Source organism: Homo sapiens, chromosome X (assembly GCF_000001405.40).
Source record: "Homo sapiens chromosome X, GRCh38.p14 Primary Assembly".
NCBI lineage: Eukaryota > Metazoa > Chordata > Mammalia > Primates > Hominidae > Homo > Homo sapiens.
Genome location: NC_000023.11, coordinates 71,159,864 through 71,178,499, shown reverse-complemented (window position 1 = coordinate 71,178,499; position 18,636 = coordinate 71,159,864). Strand labels below are relative to the sequence as shown.

The 18,636-nt window shown below is 48.0% G+C and overlaps 1 protein-coding gene across 10 annotated transcripts in view; it reads right to left on the bottom strand.

Annotated features, from left to right (window-relative positions):
* Positions 3,193-18,636, bottom strand: part of NLGN3 (neuroligin 3) — a 30,467-nt gene continuing 15,023 nt past the window's right edge. For 9 of the 10 annotated variants that reach the window (NM_181303.2, NM_018977.4, NM_001166660.2 and 6 more), the window contains 3 exons: positions 14,172-14,357; positions 10,700-11,489; positions 7,299-9,246 (listed from right to left, as the gene is read on the bottom strand). In NM_181303.2, the coding sequence (NP_851820.1) occupies positions 8,403-9,246; positions 10,700-11,489; positions 14,172-14,357 (1,820 nt within the window). In that variant the 3' untranslated portion in view covers positions 7,299-8,402. Of the gene's footprint in view, positions 6,847-7,298; positions 9,247-10,699; positions 11,490-14,171; positions 14,358-18,636 lie in introns of those variants that run through there. The other variant, XM_017029597.3, reaches the window with a different exon arrangement.

The following is an 18,636-nucleotide window of genomic DNA, read 5'->3' as shown; positions in this document are numbered from 1 at the left end:
TGTTTTTCTCCAAGGAGGTCAGTTGAACAACAGACATGAGACCTCAGAGGCTCTGCTTAAATTCTAGTCCTCCTTCTGAAGGACTGAATGCTCTACCCTGGGCATGCTGAAAATGACCGTGTCTAAAAAAGTTGTGATGTGGCTGACCAGCCTCATTACTTCTTACAATCAAACAGGCCTGCTTCCAGCACCGCAGACGCGTTCCATAAATACCCATCCCTAGACTCCTCCACCTGGAATGCTGTCCTCTCTCAGCCGTGTCCATCTGTCAGATCCATCCCATTTGTCAGGGTACAGATCAAACTCTTTGAAGCCTCTCTTTTGGTTCCCCCCAGTCTGAAGGGCCTGCTCCCTCTTCTGAATTACTGTAATAACTTGGGCCATTTTGCCCTGTTATACTTTATACCACGGCTATTTGTGAACATATCTCTGCTACAGAACTGTGAGCTCCCTGAAGGCAAAGACTATGTCGTATTTATCTTTTTATAGCCTATACTGAGGAACACAGTAGGCACTCAGTCATAATAATAATATCTGACATTTGTATAATGCTTACAGTTTCCGAAGCACATTCACATACATCTTCTCATTTAATCCTTACAACAACTCTGTGAGGTAGGTGTAATCGTCCTGTCCCTATTTTACAGATGAGCAAACAGACTCGGAGATGTTAAACCCTTCAACCAAGGTCATCCAGCTAGGAAGAGGCAGAGATGGATCTGAATGCAGGTTTTCTGACCCTATAGTCCAGTTATTTCAACTTTCTACATCTGAGCTGTTGGTTGGAAAATTCCTTCTTGGAGACTGAAGCCACAGGGCTCATCCTGGGGGCTGGGGAGAAGGGAGGAGAAGATCTAAAGGTCAAACTCCTCTCCTTTCGTTCCCACTCCCTTCTCCTCCCCACTCCCTGTTTCCAAAAAGAATTTCAGAATGCAGTCTTGTTTTGTTGAAGAATGCCCTGGCGTGAGATGTCCTTGTAGATAAGAAGGAAAAATGTGGGGTGAAGACAGGACAGTTGGGTGTATTCACAGCTGGTGACTAATGGATCTTTGTCAGCCTGGAGGGAGGTCCTTTGCCTAGCCAATAATTTAATTAATGACTTGGATGAGGACATTGATGACGTGCTGATCAAATTTGCAAATGACATGAAGCTGGCTTCAGAAAGATCCCAAGAGTCCATAATGAACCAGGAAGATGAAATGTAAAGTTTCATAATTAAGTTTTTAAAACCAAATGCTTAAGTGCAAGGTAAGAGAGACATGTGTGAAAAGGTTTTAAGTGTTTGGGGTGATTGTAACCTCATTATTTTTGACACTAGCTGCCCCGAATGCTAATATGTTAGGGTCTGGAATGGGGGAGATTACAGTTCTGCTTTCCTCTCTGCTCATTAGACCACACTGGATGACTGTCTTTAGCCTTGGATTACCATATATGAACAGGGATGTTAGCAGCCTGGAGCGTGTACAAAAAGCAAGAGACCAGGAGTGTGGGAAGACTTGAAAATCATTGTGTATGAATGACTGGAGCTCTTTAACCTGGAGTGGGGATCAACAGGGTGATGATGGTGGTTCAGGATCCAGTTTTCAAATACAGGTTCAAACTATTGGGGTAGGGCAAGGTGATTCACGCCTGTAGTTCCAGCACTTCAGGAGGCCAAGGTGGGAGGATCACAAGAGCCCAGGAGTTGGAGACCAGCCTGGGCAACATAGTGAGACCCCTTCTCTAGAAAAATATTTTTAAAAAATTTTGGCTGGGTGTGATGGCACACGCCTGTAATCCCAGCACTTTGGAAGGCCGAGGTGGGTGGATCACAAGGTCAAGAGATCAAGACCATCCTGGCCGACATGACAAAACCCCGTCTCTACTAAAAATACAAACATTAGCCGCGTGTGGTGGTGTGTGCCTGTAGTCCCAGCTACTCGGGAGGCTGAGGCAGGAGAATTGCCTGAACCCAGTAGGCGGAGCTTGCAGTGAGCCGAGATCACACCACTGCACTCCAGCTTGGGTGACAGAGCAAAACTCCATCTAAAAATAATAATAATTTTAAAAAAATAAAAAAAATTTAAAAAGAGAAAACAATACAAGTATTGGAAGAGTCCTCATATAGAAGGGGGATTCACCTTGTTTTGCTTTGTAACAGCGTGCAATCAGGAGCAATGGGTGGGTACCGTGGGAAAGCTGATTTTGAATCAACATAAGGTAGAACTTCATAATGGTTTGAGATGCTATAATATGCACTAGTCTTTTTGGGGAGGACAAGAATTTCCTATCAATGGAAGTATTTAATATTTAAGCAGAGGCAAAATAACTACTTGGCAAAGAGATTGCAGAAGGGAATCAAGCACCAGATCATAAGGGAGGGGAACTAGGTAACCATTAAGGCTGCTTTTTCTTTTTCCTCTTTTTTTTTTTTTTTTTTTTTGAGTCAAGGTCTCTCTATGTCACCCAGGCTGGAGTGCAGTGGCTCGATCACAGCTCACTGCAGTCCCGACCTCCTGGGTTCAAGTGATTCTCCCACCTCAGCCTCCTGAATAGCTGGGACCACAGGCATGTACCACCACGCCTGGTTAATTTTTTTGTTTTTTTTTTTTTTAGAGACAGAGTGTTCCTATGTTGCCTATGCTGGTCTCAAACACCTGGGCTCAAGATCCTCCCACCTCGGCCTTCCAAAGTGCCGAGATTATAGGTGTGAGCCACCGCACCTAGCCTAAAGCTACTTCTGACACTATAATTTTGAAATTCAAGTTGGGGGGGTGGTTGGAGGCGAAAATAGTTTTAGCCCTCAGAGTAGGTACCTCTGAACTAGTTATTATCTCTGCTTCCAGTCTTTCCTCCTCTAATTCACCTTGCACGTAGGCTCTAGAAATATTTTCTTGAATACTCTACCATGAGACCTTCCAGCTCAAGTATGATAGAATCTCAGTAACCCTAAAGGTCATCTGGTTCAGTCTTTTATCAGATGCTTTCATTGTCTGCATCATCCACATGGAGTCCCTGCTTGAATATTTCTGGTGATGGAGAACTGCCTACTTTTAGGGGCAGTCCATTTTAATTGCAGAGAGTACTACTAATACTAGAAAGTTCTTCCCAAACATAGCAAAATGCTTATGTTTAGATGTTGGGATTAGGACATTTTTCTTCTGTTTTTGAAACTGTTGGTAATACATTTTAAAGGACTTCAAGAGGCTGGAATCAGGAGCTGAAACTTTTATTATAATTTTTCATCATAAAAAAGGAAGGAAAAGGAGCATCTTCCTCATGTTGAACCCAAATCTGCTTTCCTATAATTTCCATCCATTAGATCTTGGAGCCCTGAAGTCACGCAGAACAAATCTACTGTGAGCCCAGTAATTACTCACTGACAGTAGACAAATTTCTCCTGGGATTCTTCAGTCTTCTCACTCTTCTCTGGATATACTTTTGTTAACATCTCCCTTGAAGTCTGGTGCTCATAACTGAACACTGGGCATCAGATGTGGTCTGATCAGTGCAAAGTAGCACAAGATGATCACCTCCTTTGTTCTGAAAGTTGTACTCTTAGTAATATGGCCCAAGGTCACAATACTTTTTACAGCAACCAAACCACACTTTCAACTCATGAGCTTTCATTCACTCTAAAATGCCTCTAAGCCACATCTCTCACATCTTACATTTGTACTGCCACATTTTGAAGTTCAAATAAGGGACTTTACCAACTTTGTGTAATTCGCAAATTTGATCTAGTGACATTAAAACAGAACTATTTTGTATGTAGTCATTCAACCAGTTAAGAATTCGCCTAGGTTTACCTTTACCCACCCCACATGTATACATGTTTTCCCAAAAGCATTGAGAGAATGTTTGGTTGAACTCTAGATACGCTGTGGGTGATAACTTTTCCCTCCTCTACCTGTCCAGTCACTCTGTCAAGGGAAATGAACCCAGTGGGGCATGATTTGTTTTTCCTGAATCCATGTGGGGACTGAGTGATCGTCGCTTCCTTTTGTAAGTGCTCACCAACCATCCTTTTAATCATTTGTCCTAGAATCTTGCCCTCAATCAATATCAAATGTATTGATCTATAATTTGTGGAGTTTACCTTTTCCCATCTGTCAAAGTGGGGCCATGTTTACCCATCTCTAGGCTGCAGCACGTATCTCTTCCCTTCTTCATGGGGTTTTCAGGGCCACCACCAGTTGTCCTGCAATTTGAGCTGCAAGTCCTTAAGTGCCCTGGGATGCTACTGACTCAGACAATGAGATGCAGTTACTCAAGGCAGCTTACGGCTCTCTTGAACTAGACTGCCTTCAGGAGTTTCTCTCTGGTGTTCACCTTGTCCTTTCTAGTCTGAAAATCGTTTTCCTTGCAGAAGAGAAGGAGTGAAAGAGGAGCTGAGGAGGTTTTGTTTTTCCACCATAAAACTATTGGCAAAAGAGTTCAGTCAGGGTGTCCAGTTGCTCAATCAATAATTGCCAAACTCTTCTGTTGTGAAGATCTTCATGAGCTGCCTTACCAAGCTAATTTCCCACCATTTTGGCCCATCCCCTCAAGCACACCTAGACCTTCTCATCTCCATGATTTGGCTGAGGTTTCCCTCCAATTTGGAATGCCCACTACTCTACCCACCCACCCCAATCCCATCATAGCCTTTCTTACAGTTTCTCCAATCCATTTAACCTTTACCATACAATTGAAGCACATGCATTTCATTCATTGGATTGTGGTTCCGTTTTGTCTTCCTGACAGTACACAACCCAAAATAGGTGTCTTCTATCCCCCACAGTATGTAAACTAGCACAAGGCCAAGCCTACAGTCCTGATAACCATACTTCAAGCTATGGAGATTTCCACAGTGACCAACCTCTGACCCTTCACACACACTACAAATTCAGATCATATGATAGCTGTGTCCAACTCCTTAAAGGACTAAAATAGAAACCAGATAAATCTAGGGATGTGGACTGACCGAATCTAGGCACTAATGCTTTTTGCAATGTTAAATAAATCCAAGTATATCCTCAGCTTCACTTCAAACAAGGAGCTGGGCATTTTAGCTGGACCCAGGGCTGGCCATCAGCAACAGGGCTGAGAACCTGAGGCTACAGGGGCACAGAATTGACTGTCAATTAGATTGAAATCATGCCTGTCTTGGAGGTCACCTCTTCCACCTAGACCTTTCAAAGGTGTGAAGACCAATTGTAATCTCTCACTGATGGGTCCCTAATAGGATTGGAGCTGGTTTTGCTATGGCGCCTTGAGTTCTTAGAGGAGAGGCAGTGTCTAAATCTTCCCAAAATAGAGAGCACTCCTAACTTGGAGGTACACTCCCCACTAAAGAACAGGAGGCCAGGTATGGTCTCAAATAGGAGGCCACGTAATATCTCAAATGGAGCAATCAAAGGATGGAACATAAGAACAAAGACTCTGAATTGACCTCAAAAGGTCAATTGGGAGGCCGAGGTGGGAGGATTGCTTGAGCCCAGGAGTTTGAGACCAGCCTGGGCAACATGGTGAAACCCCATCTCTGTTAAAAAAAAAAAAAAAGTCATATAATCTAGCTCTCTGCTTTCAGGAAGATGAGAAATACCAGTGCTTCCCTTAGTAGCCATTCACTCAATTTGGCAACTGCGATTGAGAACTCACTAGGTGCTTGTGATCATTTCCTATTCATAGCAAAGTTATTCCTTGTATTTCACTTGATCTCATTTTCCCCTCTATCATTCTCAAAAGAAACGGAGAACAGGTCATCAGCTCTGTCCTTATTTAGGAGTTAAATTTTGAAGATGGGTATAGCACACTTTTCACATGGTAGGTGCCCTACAACCATTGAATGTTACCTCATCAGCTTTTTCCTTTCTAGATCTCACACACACACACACACACACACACACACGCATGCACACACACACAGCACCTAGTCCCGTGGCATTATTTATGCTCTTCTCCAGACCCTCTCTAGCTTTCCACTTTTGCTAAAAATGTGTTGGCCAAGGGTAGACCCATCATGCTTTGAAAGGTATGACCAATGGCAGGTAGAGTGGAACGAGTTGAGTGGGACTATGGCAAGGGTCGTGTAGTGCTGGGTGGCATTCTAGGTCTGTTTCTAATACTAACTGTGACGGGCTTTTCTGGGCCCATTTCCTCAACTATAAAATAAATGGGTTGGACTAGATGACTCTCGGGTGACTTCTGGTTCTAAAACTCACACTTGGATGACTTCTCAGATCCTCCATGCTGTGTTTTTGTTACTATATGCAGGATCCACATTAGTTTTGGAAAAAAGAAAGGAAAGAAGGGTGTGAGGAAAGGAGGGGGAAAAACCAGTTTTACACCATGGACTCACTTGTGATGTACCCTTACACCATCTCCCCAGTTCTTCTTCTTTTTAACTATACTTGTGTCAAGTCAATCACTGCCCATCTCCAGTGTACCATATTAGTGTATTAGTTCTAGGTTTTGGTCTTTGTACACACTACCTGTGTTCGTCCTCTCTGAACATGGTCCTCCTTGTGATGGTTCATCTCCCTCATTTTATCAGGGTCATTTGAAGAATTCTATTCCTGCTTTCTGAGGTATCAGCAACCCCACCCAACTATCATACTTGCCGAGCACACTCCCAGTTCAGTCTTTCAAGTCACTGAGAATAATATGAAATCCCATAATGCTAACCCTGTGAGGCCCCACTGAATCCATGCCCCAGGGTTGATAGGGAGTCACTGATCACAATCCTGTAGAAAAATCGCTCCCAGGGCCCCAAGGACTTCTCCAGTTCTAATTCACAGAGCAGCAAACAAGTATCCCTGGGGAAGGAGAGGGCCTCTGCTCTGTCAGTCACTCAAGGCCAGGGAGTCCACGTCTGACGCTGCACTGGATTCAGATAGGAGAAAGAATTTCAGCACGTTAGAGGTCAAACCTCCTCCCAGCCCCCAGTCCAAGGTGAGGGCAGGGTGGTTGCAGCAGAGGAGGAGGAGGAGAAGTAAGAGGAGGAGGAGGCCGCAGCGGTGCAGAGAAGGAAGGAAGTATTTTTGCCATTTCATTAGGAGGCCTGAAGTGCTGAGAGGAGGCTTCAGCTGCAGGAACCCAGCGCGCTGGGGGCAGGGGGATGGGAAGAGCAACCTGATTAAGATTGGAGAGGCCTTCATGCAGGGGCCCCCAACCCCCAACCCCCAACCCCCAACCCCCAACCCCGCACAGTGCAGCCCAGACTCAGCTTAAAGATACAGGAGGCAGGGGGAGGCTGCCTGATTGCCTGATTCCCAGCCCGCAGAGGCACCCTGTTCGGAGGTCTGTTGGGGCAAGGCCTGTGCAAGGGAGGCAGGTTGGGAGTGCTAACTGGATTTTTTATTTTTATATCAAGACACTGTGTTTAAAATTTTTACAAAGGACAAACTCCATGGGTTTCCGTTAGTGTTTTAAGAACTTTTCTTTAAAAAAAAAAAAAAACCAACAACAACAAAAAACACCGCCTTTTTGAAAGAGAAATGACAGACACAAAAGACTGTAAAGAAAATGGGGCGAATTTCTGATAGCATTTCCCCAAGGGCAGAGGCAAAACCCAGATCAGACCTGGGGGCCCAATAGTGATGTGGCTTCCATAGTACGTTGTTCACCAAATCTAAGGTCACCTGGTCTGGCCAGGCCAATGCTGTTGGCCTTTGGGGAAGCAGGTCACCCTGCAGGCTCTGCAGCCCTCCACACGGACACAGAGAGAGTTGGAGATCTCTCCCCTACGACCCTCCAGCTCCATCCAGTGCTAGCCCCTTTCTCCTTCCACCCCATGGTCTTGCTTAAATCTGTTTCCTTCCTGGGGGTCTTGTTCCTTGGTCTGATTGTGTGAGCACTGGGGGTCCTAGAGCCAGAGAGACCTTCGGGCCTGAAGCCCTCCCTTCCAGAGGCTCTTAGCACTCATGGGTTGGAAAAGCATTTGTTCCAAAATTAAAAAAGAAAAATCAACAAAACAAGACCCAGAAAAAAGACCAAGTCCTGGGGAGGAAGAGCTATCCTGCTCTTTAAAGCTCCCAAGTCTGGAGTTGGTCGGTGGTGCAGTTCCAAGAGAGGCCGAAGGCGAGCACCAAGGGGGTGTCCAGCTGTTGCTTTCAGGCCCCCCAGGAGTGTCTGTGGTCAGATTCAGGGAGCTGGCTTCAGCTGCTGTTTCATGGGTCCTCGGTTTACCGAGGACTCATCTGCGTCCCCATTTAAAGGGTTTGTTCAGGTTTACTTCCGTATTTGTGTTTTTGTACATGCGGGTGCATGTCCACATCTGTCTATGTTTGTGCAGGTGGATCTGCTGTAGGGTGTGGGTGCGTGCGTATACATATATGTGTGTGTGTGTGTGTGTCTGCGTGTGTGTGTGTGTGTGTGTGCATGTGTTCCTGGATCTGGGAGGGAGGGAGCCTGGAGATTGGCTGTGCTCTGAGTTGGAGCTATACCCGGGTAGTGGAGTGTGAGTGGGGCAGCCCGGTACTGTTGAACCCTGCGGCAAAGGTGTTATAGGGGTGCAATGTCTGCAGCCCTACCAGGGAGTTGGGGATCATAGTGATGGTGTTGGGGGTCATGAGTGGGATGTCATCCGGGGAGCGCCGCAGGGTCAGGGTGTAGTCGGGCAATGCAGTGAGGCGCAGCGTGTCATGGGGGGGACCGGCCTCACACTCGTGGTGGGTGGGGCCCAGTTGTAATGCTGCCAGCTCCTCCTCTGGAGCAGCTCCCAACTCCGGGGCCCCGGCTCCCCGCTGAGGGCTAGGCTGCCGCAGGGGCTCCTGGCGCCGTTTGTCCTTACGGTAGTAGAGGGCAGCGAAGGCCAGAACGTTAAGGAACAGGAGGGAGGCCCCCACGGCGATGGTGACACTTAATTCAGTGGAGTAGTCACGAGGGTTCTCCACCAGGAGTGGCCCTGCATCCTGGTCCCCGTTCCAGGACCCCTGGGCATTCTCGTTGCTGTAGGCAGGTGAGATGGCTGGCCGCTTGGTGCTCCAGGTCTTGCCATTGGGCCTGCGGGTGATGTGGGAGCTGTGGGTGGTATCCGGAGGCGGCACTTTGGTGGTGGTGGACGTATAGTGGAACATGTCATGCAGGTTGTATAGGTGGGGCACCAGATGTTTCCAAAAGGCCACCTTAGTGGCCCGGTAATGATCTCGGACCCTTGGTTTCAGCCCGATGTGAAGGTAGAGCTGGTCTCGGGGATTGTATTTGGACCAGGCCACTTCCTCAAAGCGGTTGGCCTTGGTGTGAATGAACTTGGTGTCCTGGGGGACCGGCTTGTTGGGATCCCTGAAATACCACATGGAAATCTGGGGTCACCACTCTATCTGGATGAGGAAAAGGCCCAGCATTTTTCCTCTGACAGCCAAACCTCTTTCCCAGTTTAGAACTTCCCACCATTTCCATCTTTTTCAGGGTCCCCTGCTCTGCCCACACCTGCTTCTTCCCCAGGGCTTGAACTCCTATATCCTCCTTCCCGGCGCTCATCCTTTAAGATTAAGGCTATAGATGCTTTTTCTTTGCACATGCTACTGAGCATTTATCAATCTTTTCAGCTGCCCAATTTTGCCAGGAGCCCCCTAATAAAGCCTCTTTCTTTTATTAAGCAAGCAGAAGTTGCTGAACCCGAAGTCTCTTTTTCTTTCTTTCTTTCTTTCTCTTTCTTTTCTTTCTCTTTCTTTCTTTCTTTCTTTCTTTCTTTCTTTCTTTCTTTCTTTCTTTTTTTTTTCTCTTTCTTTCTTTCTCTCTCTTTCTTTCTTTCTTCCCTTTTTCTTTCTCTCTCTCTCTTTCTTTCTCTCTTTTTTTTTCTTTTTTTTTTTTTGAGACAGAGTCTCGCTCTGTCGCACAGGCTGGAGTGCGGTGGGGCAACCTCGGCTCACTGCAACCTCTGCCTCCTGGGTTCAAGCAATTCTCCTGCCTAGGTAGCCGGGACTACAGGCACCCGCCACCACGCCTGGCAAATTTTTTGTATTATAGTAGAGACGGTGTTTCACCATGTTGGCCAGGCTGGTTTCGAACTCCTGAGCTCAGGCAATCCACCTGCCTTGGCCTCCCAAAGTGCTGGGATTACAGGCATAAGCCTCCGCGCCTGGCCCTGAAGGCTCTTTCTGAAGCACTGCATTCCTATTTCACATAGCCTGTGACCAGCTAACCTTGAATCCCATAGTGTGTGTGTGTATATGTGTGTGTGTGTGTGTGTTTAAGATAAGGTTTCGCTCTGTCACCCAGGCTAGAGTACAGTGGCGTGATCACAGCTCAGTGTAGCCTCACCCTCCGGGGCTCAAGCGATCCTCCCACCTCAGCCTCCCAAATACCTGGGACTACAGGCATGCACTACCATGCCTGGCTAATGCTTTTTCTTTTAGAGACAGGGTCTTTCTATGTTGCCGTGGCTGGTCTTGAACTCCTGGGCTCAAGTGATCTGCCTGCCTTTGCCTCCCAAAGTGCTGGGATTACAGCCGTGAGCCACTGGGCCTGGCTAAATCCCATAGTTCTTCCAGTAACCCTCATTCCTTCCTAGTCCCGATGCTAACTGAGTTCTAAGCCTCAACAACATTTTTGAAGGAAGGAAAAATGGCATGAAAGACTCAGGAAGGGGAGATAGGAAGATGAGTGAAGGGGTACCAAGCAAGATTTTGGGAATATCTTAGGAAGGGATATGATGGAAGAGGTTTAGCTAGAGGAGCAGAGGGGAGGGCATGCTGGGGTCTCAAAGAGGAAAAAAACCCTATTTTCTCCTTACCCAGTCTTGGCAAAGTTGGTCCAATAGGTCATGACGACAGCACTGAGCATAACATCATTCTTGGAGAAGTTGCAGGGGAAAAGGTCAGTGGGGCCTACCATAGGAACCCCAAAAACATAGGGTACTTCATCCCCATGAGCTGCATCTGACCAAGCAGGCTTCATGAGGCTCTGGCAGTGATGATAGAAGGCGTAGAAGTAGGTAGGCGAGCCGTAGCGGGCATGCAGATCGGCTGTCACCACTGAGGGCTCCACCCACTGGTGGTCAGTGAAGAGTGCCACCAGTGTTTTACGGCGGGTCTCAGGGTTGTCACGGTCTGCCCAGTCTGTATACATGAACTTGATGGTCTCTCGCAGGGTGTCCTTACCCTCAGGATAGCCATACAGATTGTCCACAAAATTGGAGACGGAATAGTCAAAGTCAGTGCCAGAGACACCATCCTCAGGGTCCACCACCCCTTCCACAAACTTGAGACCCTCGCCCTGGTTGACACCTAGCATGATGTCATAGTTGAGGAACTCGCCCTGCTCCATGAGGATCTCAGGGTCATCAGGAATGACATCACCATCAATCACAGGGCCAAAGGCCACGTGGTAGCGGGCTGGCTGGATGTCCTGCTCTACCAGCTCCTTGGCACTCTTTTGCCGAAGACAGTCCACCATATCCACGGTGTCCAGCACATTACAGCCCACTTTGTCTGCCAGCAGGCTGGTGTACTTCACTGGTTGGTAGTTCACAGCCCAGCTGGACAGAGCAGAGCCACTTTGGATGATGGCTCTCTGGAAAAGTCCTACAGAAGACAGGTAGCACCAGGTCAGATCTGTCGTGTCACACATAGCCATAAATCTCTTCATTCCTTTGTCACTGAGGCTGCCCCATGGTTTAAATGGGCTAGGAAGGGGGAACAACTCTTTTGGCAGGGGATGATGTAGGGCCAAAGGAGGGGTTGCTGAACCCCTTCCTTGATGGCTTCCACCATCCCTTCCCTGTCCTGGTGCGATGGCTGGTAACTTAGGGGTTAAGGCAATGTCAGGAAGAATTAACCCCTTGAATCCCAGACATCAGCCCCCTTATGCCGCCTCTCTTTATCTCTCCTTGTCTTCCCCTCTTGCTTCCTGCCCAGCTGGGCCCAGCTCCGTGCCAGCGCACCACCAGGGAGCTGGCACTTGCACCACAAAGGAGTCTTTTTCATGAGAGATGAGAAATGCAGGCAGGCAAGAGCCCCACATTCTGAGGGCTTGGGGAAGGAGCCCAAGGGCAAAGGCCTTCGGGTCTGAAAGTCTCCAGGGAACCTGTGCTCCCCGTCTGTGGTCTCCACTGATACTTTGTTTTTTTTTTTTTTTGGAGATGGAGTTTTGCTCTTGTTGCCCAGGCTGGAGTGCAATGGTGGGATCTCGGCTAACTGCAACCTCTGCCTCCCAGGTTCAAGCGTTTCTCTTGCCTCAGCCTCCCGAGTAGCTGGGATTACAGGCACCCGCCACCACGCCCGGCTAATTTTGTATTTTTAGTAGAGACGGGGTTTCACCATGTTGGTCAGGCTGGTCTTGAACTTCCGACTTCAGGTGATCCACCCGCCTTGGCCTCCCAAAGTACTGGGGTTACAGGCGTGAGCCACCGCGCCTGGCAGAGACTTTCCTTTTATCTGAAGCTACCGATACTTCAAATTCAGATTTTCCCCTAGCAGAGAGGGAGCCAGTCCCCCAAACTCAAAAAGAAAATAATTTTCCCCTCTAGAAAAAAAAAAAGGATATCATTCTCTCCCTGGCCCCAACATTCCCAAGGGAGAATTTGTCCCTCAGGCACATAATTCCATTCCTTTAAGAGAAAGCCAGTTTGCATGAGTGGAAAGAGAGGGAAAGAAATGATAGATTACTACTTAAAAGACAGCCTCATTTTCCCAAAGATTATTCTCCATGCATCAATTACAGAAAAACAGAGAGAACAGATCTTTAAAGAAGTCAAACCTCGGCCAGGCACAGTGGCTCACGCCTGTAATCCCAGCACTTTGGGAGGCCGAGGTAGGCAGATCGCTTGAGCTCAGGAGTTTGAGACCAGCCTGGGCAACATGGCGAAAACCTGTCTCTACAAAAAAAAATTTATCCCCAAAATTAGCCGGGCATGGTAGCATGCACCTGTAGTCCCCAGCTACTCTGGGGGCTGAGGCAGGAGGATCACTTGAGCCTGGGAGGAACAGGTTGCAGTGAGCTGTGATCACACCACTGCACTGGGGGACAGAGCCTGGGGAACAGAGCGAGATCTTGTCTCAAAGAAAAAAAAAAAGTCAAACCTCCAGAGACACAGGCCCCCTATGAGACAAAGCATAGCACCACTCCAGGAAAGGCTTTCTTCTCCTAGGGGAGGAGTCCCCAGTCAGAGGAGGCACAGAACGTCTTTTCAGGCCAAGGCACCCTTGCAGCCCGTCATTTCGCCCTCCTTTGGGGAAAAAGGGAAGATTCCTGTTCCCACTATGGTCACCTAGGAACACAGTCTCTCTCTTTAGAGAGGCAGATCCCACCTAAGTCTTCCCTCACCAGGGTAGTCCCTGGAGGGGCAAAGACAGAATTTCTAGGTCAAAGAAGGTGGTTCTTCTCTCTCAGAGAGACAGAACTTCTTCAAGAGATGGAAAGTCTTCCTGTGAGAATGTCCCTAACTCAGGGGGTTAGTGTTCAATTAAAAAAGAAAAAAAGCATCCTCGCTCACAGATTTCCTTACTTCAGAAAAGGGCACCTATTTCAGGAAGATCTTTTCTTCATGAGAAGCTCAGCTTTGCCTCTCAGAGATAGAATGTTCCCAGTAGTCCAGAGGTGGAGAAAACATTTCCTGCCGAGCAAAAAGGACCTATTCTGCTCTCTTGGAAGGGTCACTGGCAAAGGGACCCACCACAAGGAGAGAGGCCAAAAATGAGAATCTCCCCGGCAGCTTGCACAGTCGGGGAGAGGTCTGGAGTCTGATAATAGACCATCGTCCTATGGAAGAAGCCCACCTCGTGGGTTAGTGACTCTCATTTCAGACCCACTTCCCCCTCTAGGATGTTTCCCCTCTTGTACAGACTTGTTCTTCAGAGAGAAAGGCAGAGAATGGATGTTTCTTAGACCTAGAAACCAATTTCCACCCTATATCTCTACTGTGAAGTAACATGTCCTTCCCATACTGAAAGATCCTCCCCAACCCCTGTCAAACTATTGTCCTCTGAGGGGACAATTGTTCTATTCCCACTCCCCAAAATAAGACTCCCACATCAGAAGGAGAATCTTGCTTTCCCAGGACATAAATGGGATTCTCTTCCTTCCCTCTCCAGCTTTGGGAGAAGTACTTCTCCCAGAGAAACATTTCTCTTCCACTTCTTGCCAAAGGGATACCAAGCTGGTAGAAGAGAGCTGGCCGATTCCCTTGGATGCCCTGGGGCATGGATGGGGCATGCTGGGACAGCCGGCACTTGGCTAGTTCATGTTTTGCCCCACGAGTTACTCACCCTCTGAGTGATGTGACAACGTGAGGAGGCTGACGCAGGATGCACCAATGCCCGAGCCAAAGACAGTGATCCGGCGGGGGTCTCCCCCGAAGAAGGCAATATTCTCGCTCACCCAGCGGAGGGCCTGGATCTGGTCAAGGAGCCCATAGTTGCCCTTGGCAGCCTGATCTCCAGTACTCAGGAAACCTGGATTCAACAAAGGGCATGAAGACAATGAAGGCAGAGGGATGGAGGATTTGGGTGATGACGGCAGGCAGGGTCAACAGGGGAGGTGGGAATAGAGAATGAGCACGCAGTGTAGTTCTTCCCACATAGTTAACTTAAAGCAGTGCTCCTTTCTGCAATGTCCAGCATCGTCAACAGAGGAGGGGTCAGCTCCCTGCCTCCCACCTGTTATCCAGCTTGGAAGGAGGGGTCTGCAGACCATTTGAAGTGCATGCCTCCAGGTGGGAGACAAACTGCAGAAACTGCAAATGTCCAGAACTCAGCATTCTCTGCCCTGATGTACTATTGGGGACCTTACCCTAACATCTGGCAAGATAGAATGGAAACCCTGGAGTCAGACGGTCCTTGATTTGAATCCTGGCTCTATCACATCTTAGTCATGTAGCCTTGGGCACTTAATTTAAAATCTCTGGGCCATAGTGTCCTCTTCTGTAAAATGGGGATAAAAATACCTCACAGGGTTGTAACAAGGATAAAATGAACATAAGCATCTATAACATGCTGGGCACATTGCAGCTCTATAGTTACTTCTCTTTCCCCTTTCTTCTCTCTCCAAAGGAAGTGTAGATGATCCCAAGAGGCAACAATCCCTAAGCTCTCCTTGCCCTTCCTGTTCAAATCAGTCCCTCTCCACTTCCTTCCGGGGCCTTGATGGCCCCCTTCCCCTCATTTTCAGGGCAGGTCCTCATTTCCCTCCCTTGGAGGCCTAAGGAATCAGAAACTCTGGGGTGGGGCCCAGCAATCTGTGTTTTTAACAAGCTCTCCAGGTGATGCTGATACCTGCCAAAGTTGAGAAACCACTGGGTCAGACCATCTTTTTCATCTGGTGGAGAAATGGGGAAGTAGCGCAGTGCGTTACCACAGAAACAGGTCTTCCCGCCCCCCCACTGGAATTTGCTGCTGAGGAGACATGTCACCATGGAGACTACCTTCCCACCCACCTGCTGGGATTTGCTGCTGTGGAGACTTGTTGCCATGGAGACTACCTTCCTGCCCACCTGCTGGCTATCCCACAGAGATGTCCTATATTCCCCCCTACTCTGCTTCCATTTTAGACTGAGCCTGCGGCCTTATTTCATCTCTCTTCCCTGAATCCTTGGGTCCCTTGGAAGGCTCTGTCTTCTCCTGCCCTAGGCTTTTGGAAGAAGTCTTTGGAGGTGGGTAATTGTGAAGCTCCTACACATTGGAAACCCACACTTGGATCAGTATTTTTTACTCCCCAGTTAAAAGCTCATTCACAGCACCTGGAATCAACTTTGTGAGAGGCCATGTTGGAGAAGACTCCCAGAGCTCATGGGGAGTTCTCTGGCGTCCTTGCAGTCCATAGGCAGAGGCTGAATTCAAATAGACTCAAACAGTCACAAGACCTCACCACTGTCTTTCTCAAGTCCTTCTGTACCTAGCTTCTGCAAAAGAGCTCATCTCATCCTCTTCAAGTGTGTTATTAATTTACCTCTGGTACAATTAAGTATGTAAAGTACTTAGTTATTTCTCCCGGGCCCTAGTCACAAGTCCTCTTTAGCCCCAGGTTCCAGAGGAGGAAATGAGAATGAATTAGAGAAAGCCTGCATGAGGATGAAGAAGGAACCCTTGCTCTTCCAGACAAGGAAATCAGCTTTTCCTTTGCGTGGCCCATTCAGAAATTGAAGCTGCTCCTTTGAGTCTTAAAAACTTGGCCAGGCATGGTGGCTCACACCTGTAATCCCAGCACTTTAGGAGGCTGAGGTGGGAGGATCACTTGAGGTCAGAAGTTTGAGACCAACCTGGCCAGTGTAGCAAGACCCTGTCCCTTTTTGTTTTTAAAACAAAACAAATTAGCCAGTTGTGGTGGTGCATGCCTGTGGTCCCAGCCACTCAGGAGGCTGGGGCTGGAGGATCACTTGAGCCTAGGTGTGAAGGCTGCAGTGAGCTGTTATTACCCCACTGCACTCCAGCCTGGGGGACAGAATGAGACTCCATCTCTAAAAAAGCAACCAAAAAAAAAAAATCCCTCAAAACCCCAACTCTGTTGACCATGATCCAACCCAGCTGCCCAAGCCTTGGGACCCTCTGGCAGAAATCACTGTCCTTCTTTTAGTCCTCCCTCCTCTCTCCTTCCCCTGTATTCTCTTTTCCTTTTCTTTCATTTAGGCAATAGTGGTCTTGGCTTCAGCCTTTGCCAAGGCATCATTTACTGAAATGTGTCAAACATGCCTGGCCTAATCAGCAGGCAAAGCCTGCATTTGGATGTAGTAGAGCAGATTTCTCCAATGTACCAATTTCCTGGGTTAGGAACAAAGGCCTGAAAGGGCTGGATGGAGGATTTATTTATTATTTATTTATTTTTTTTTAGAAGGAGTTTCACTCTTGTCGCCCAGGCTGGAATGCAATGGCATGATCTCGGCTCGCTGCAACCTCCGCCTCCCAGGTTCAAGTGATTCTTCTGTCTCAGCCTTGCGAGTAGCTGGGATTACAGGTGCCTGCCACCATGCCTGGCTAATTTTTATATTTTTAATAGAGATGGGGTTTCGCCATGTTGGCCAGGCTGGTCTTGAACTCCTGACCTCAGGTGATTGGATGGAGGATTTGACCATCACTCTCTGCTCTCTCAGATCCTATGAGTCTCTGGTTAAGGGGCCCTGAAGCATGTGGATGATGCCATGTCAATGATCCCTACTCCATGAAGAGTCCTGCTTGAAATGCTATCTCCAGGCCAGGCGTGGTGGCTCATGCCTGTAATCCCAGCACTTTGGGAGGCCAAGGCGGGCAGATCACCTGAGGTCTGGAGTTCGAGACCAGCCTGGCCAACATGGAGAAACCCCATCTCTACTAAAAATACAAAATTAGCCGGGCTTGGTGGCATGTGACTGTAATCCCAGCTACTAGGGAGGCTGAGGCAGGAGAATCACTTGAACCTGGGAGGCGGAGGTTGCGGTGAGCCGAGATAGCGCCATTGCACTGCAGCCTGGGCAACAAGAGTGAAACTCCATCTCAAAAAAAAAAAAAAAAGAAAGAAAAGAAAAGAAAAAAGAAATGCTATCTCCAACAGGCTCAGGAAGATGACAGCAAACCTGACCAACCACAAGCACACAATATCTGGCATTCTGGGAGAGGTCACTCACTGCTAGTTCCCCAGTAACTCAACCATCCACAGAAACCATGTGAGAATGAAGGCTGAAATACTAAACTCCATAAACTGTCAGAATAAATCGGAGCCAGTCTCCCTGGGCCCAAGTTTATACTGCAGTTCATGGTAAACTGCTCGTCAACAGAAGATGGGGAATCTGGCAGATTGTAACAAAACCAGATATTTGTGTCACTCAAGGCTTGATGTTTACTGGGTTTTCGGTTTGCCTGGAGGGTACCTGAGCAAGCATGTAGGATTCAATTCTGGAACCTGGAGTAAAACTTGGCAAGTGCCTGCTTCCTCAGCCTCAGGGATTTCCACATCCTATATCCTGCTGGAGTCCCTTTCTTTGTTGGCTTCAAGCCCAGTGGGGCCTTCTCAAATAATAGCTACCCCTCTGCCTTGGAGAGGATCCATGGATTAGCCTGTGACATTCTCAACATTCATGAATCACCCAAGATATCTAGAAAAGCACCTTAGAGGCTGGGCGTGATGGCTCATGCCTGTAATCCCAGCACTTTGGGAGGCCGAGGCAGGTGGATCACCTGAGGTCAGGAGTTCAAGACCAGCCTGGCCAACATGGTGAAACCCCGTCTCTACTAAAAATACAAAAATATGCCGGGTGTGGTGGCAGGCGCCTGTAATCCCAGCTACTTGGGAGGCTGAGGCAGGAGAATTGCTTTAACCGGGGAGGCGGAGGTTGTAGTGAGCCGAGATCATGCCATTGCACTCCAGCCTGAGCGACAGAGCGAGACTCTGTCTCAAAAAGAAAAAAAAAAAAAAAGAAAGAAAGAAAAAAGATAAGCACCTTAGAGTGAACCGCCTGATGGGTTCAGTGCTCAGGAAAGCTGATGGGAAGGAGAGTGAATGAATGCCTGTGACTGGGGTCCAAAACAAACCACCTGTTCTGGGATGCTTTGGGCAACAAAACAACAAAGGCCCCACTACACAGGAAAATTCCCCGCCGGGTGCAGTGGCTCACACCTGTAATCCCAGCACTTTGGAAGGCTGAGGAGGGCGGATCACCTGAGATCGGGAGTTCGAGACCAGCCTGGCCAACATGGCGAAACCCCCGCCTCTACTAAAAAAAAAAAAAAAAAAAAAAAATAGCTGGGCGTGGTGGTGCGCGCCTGT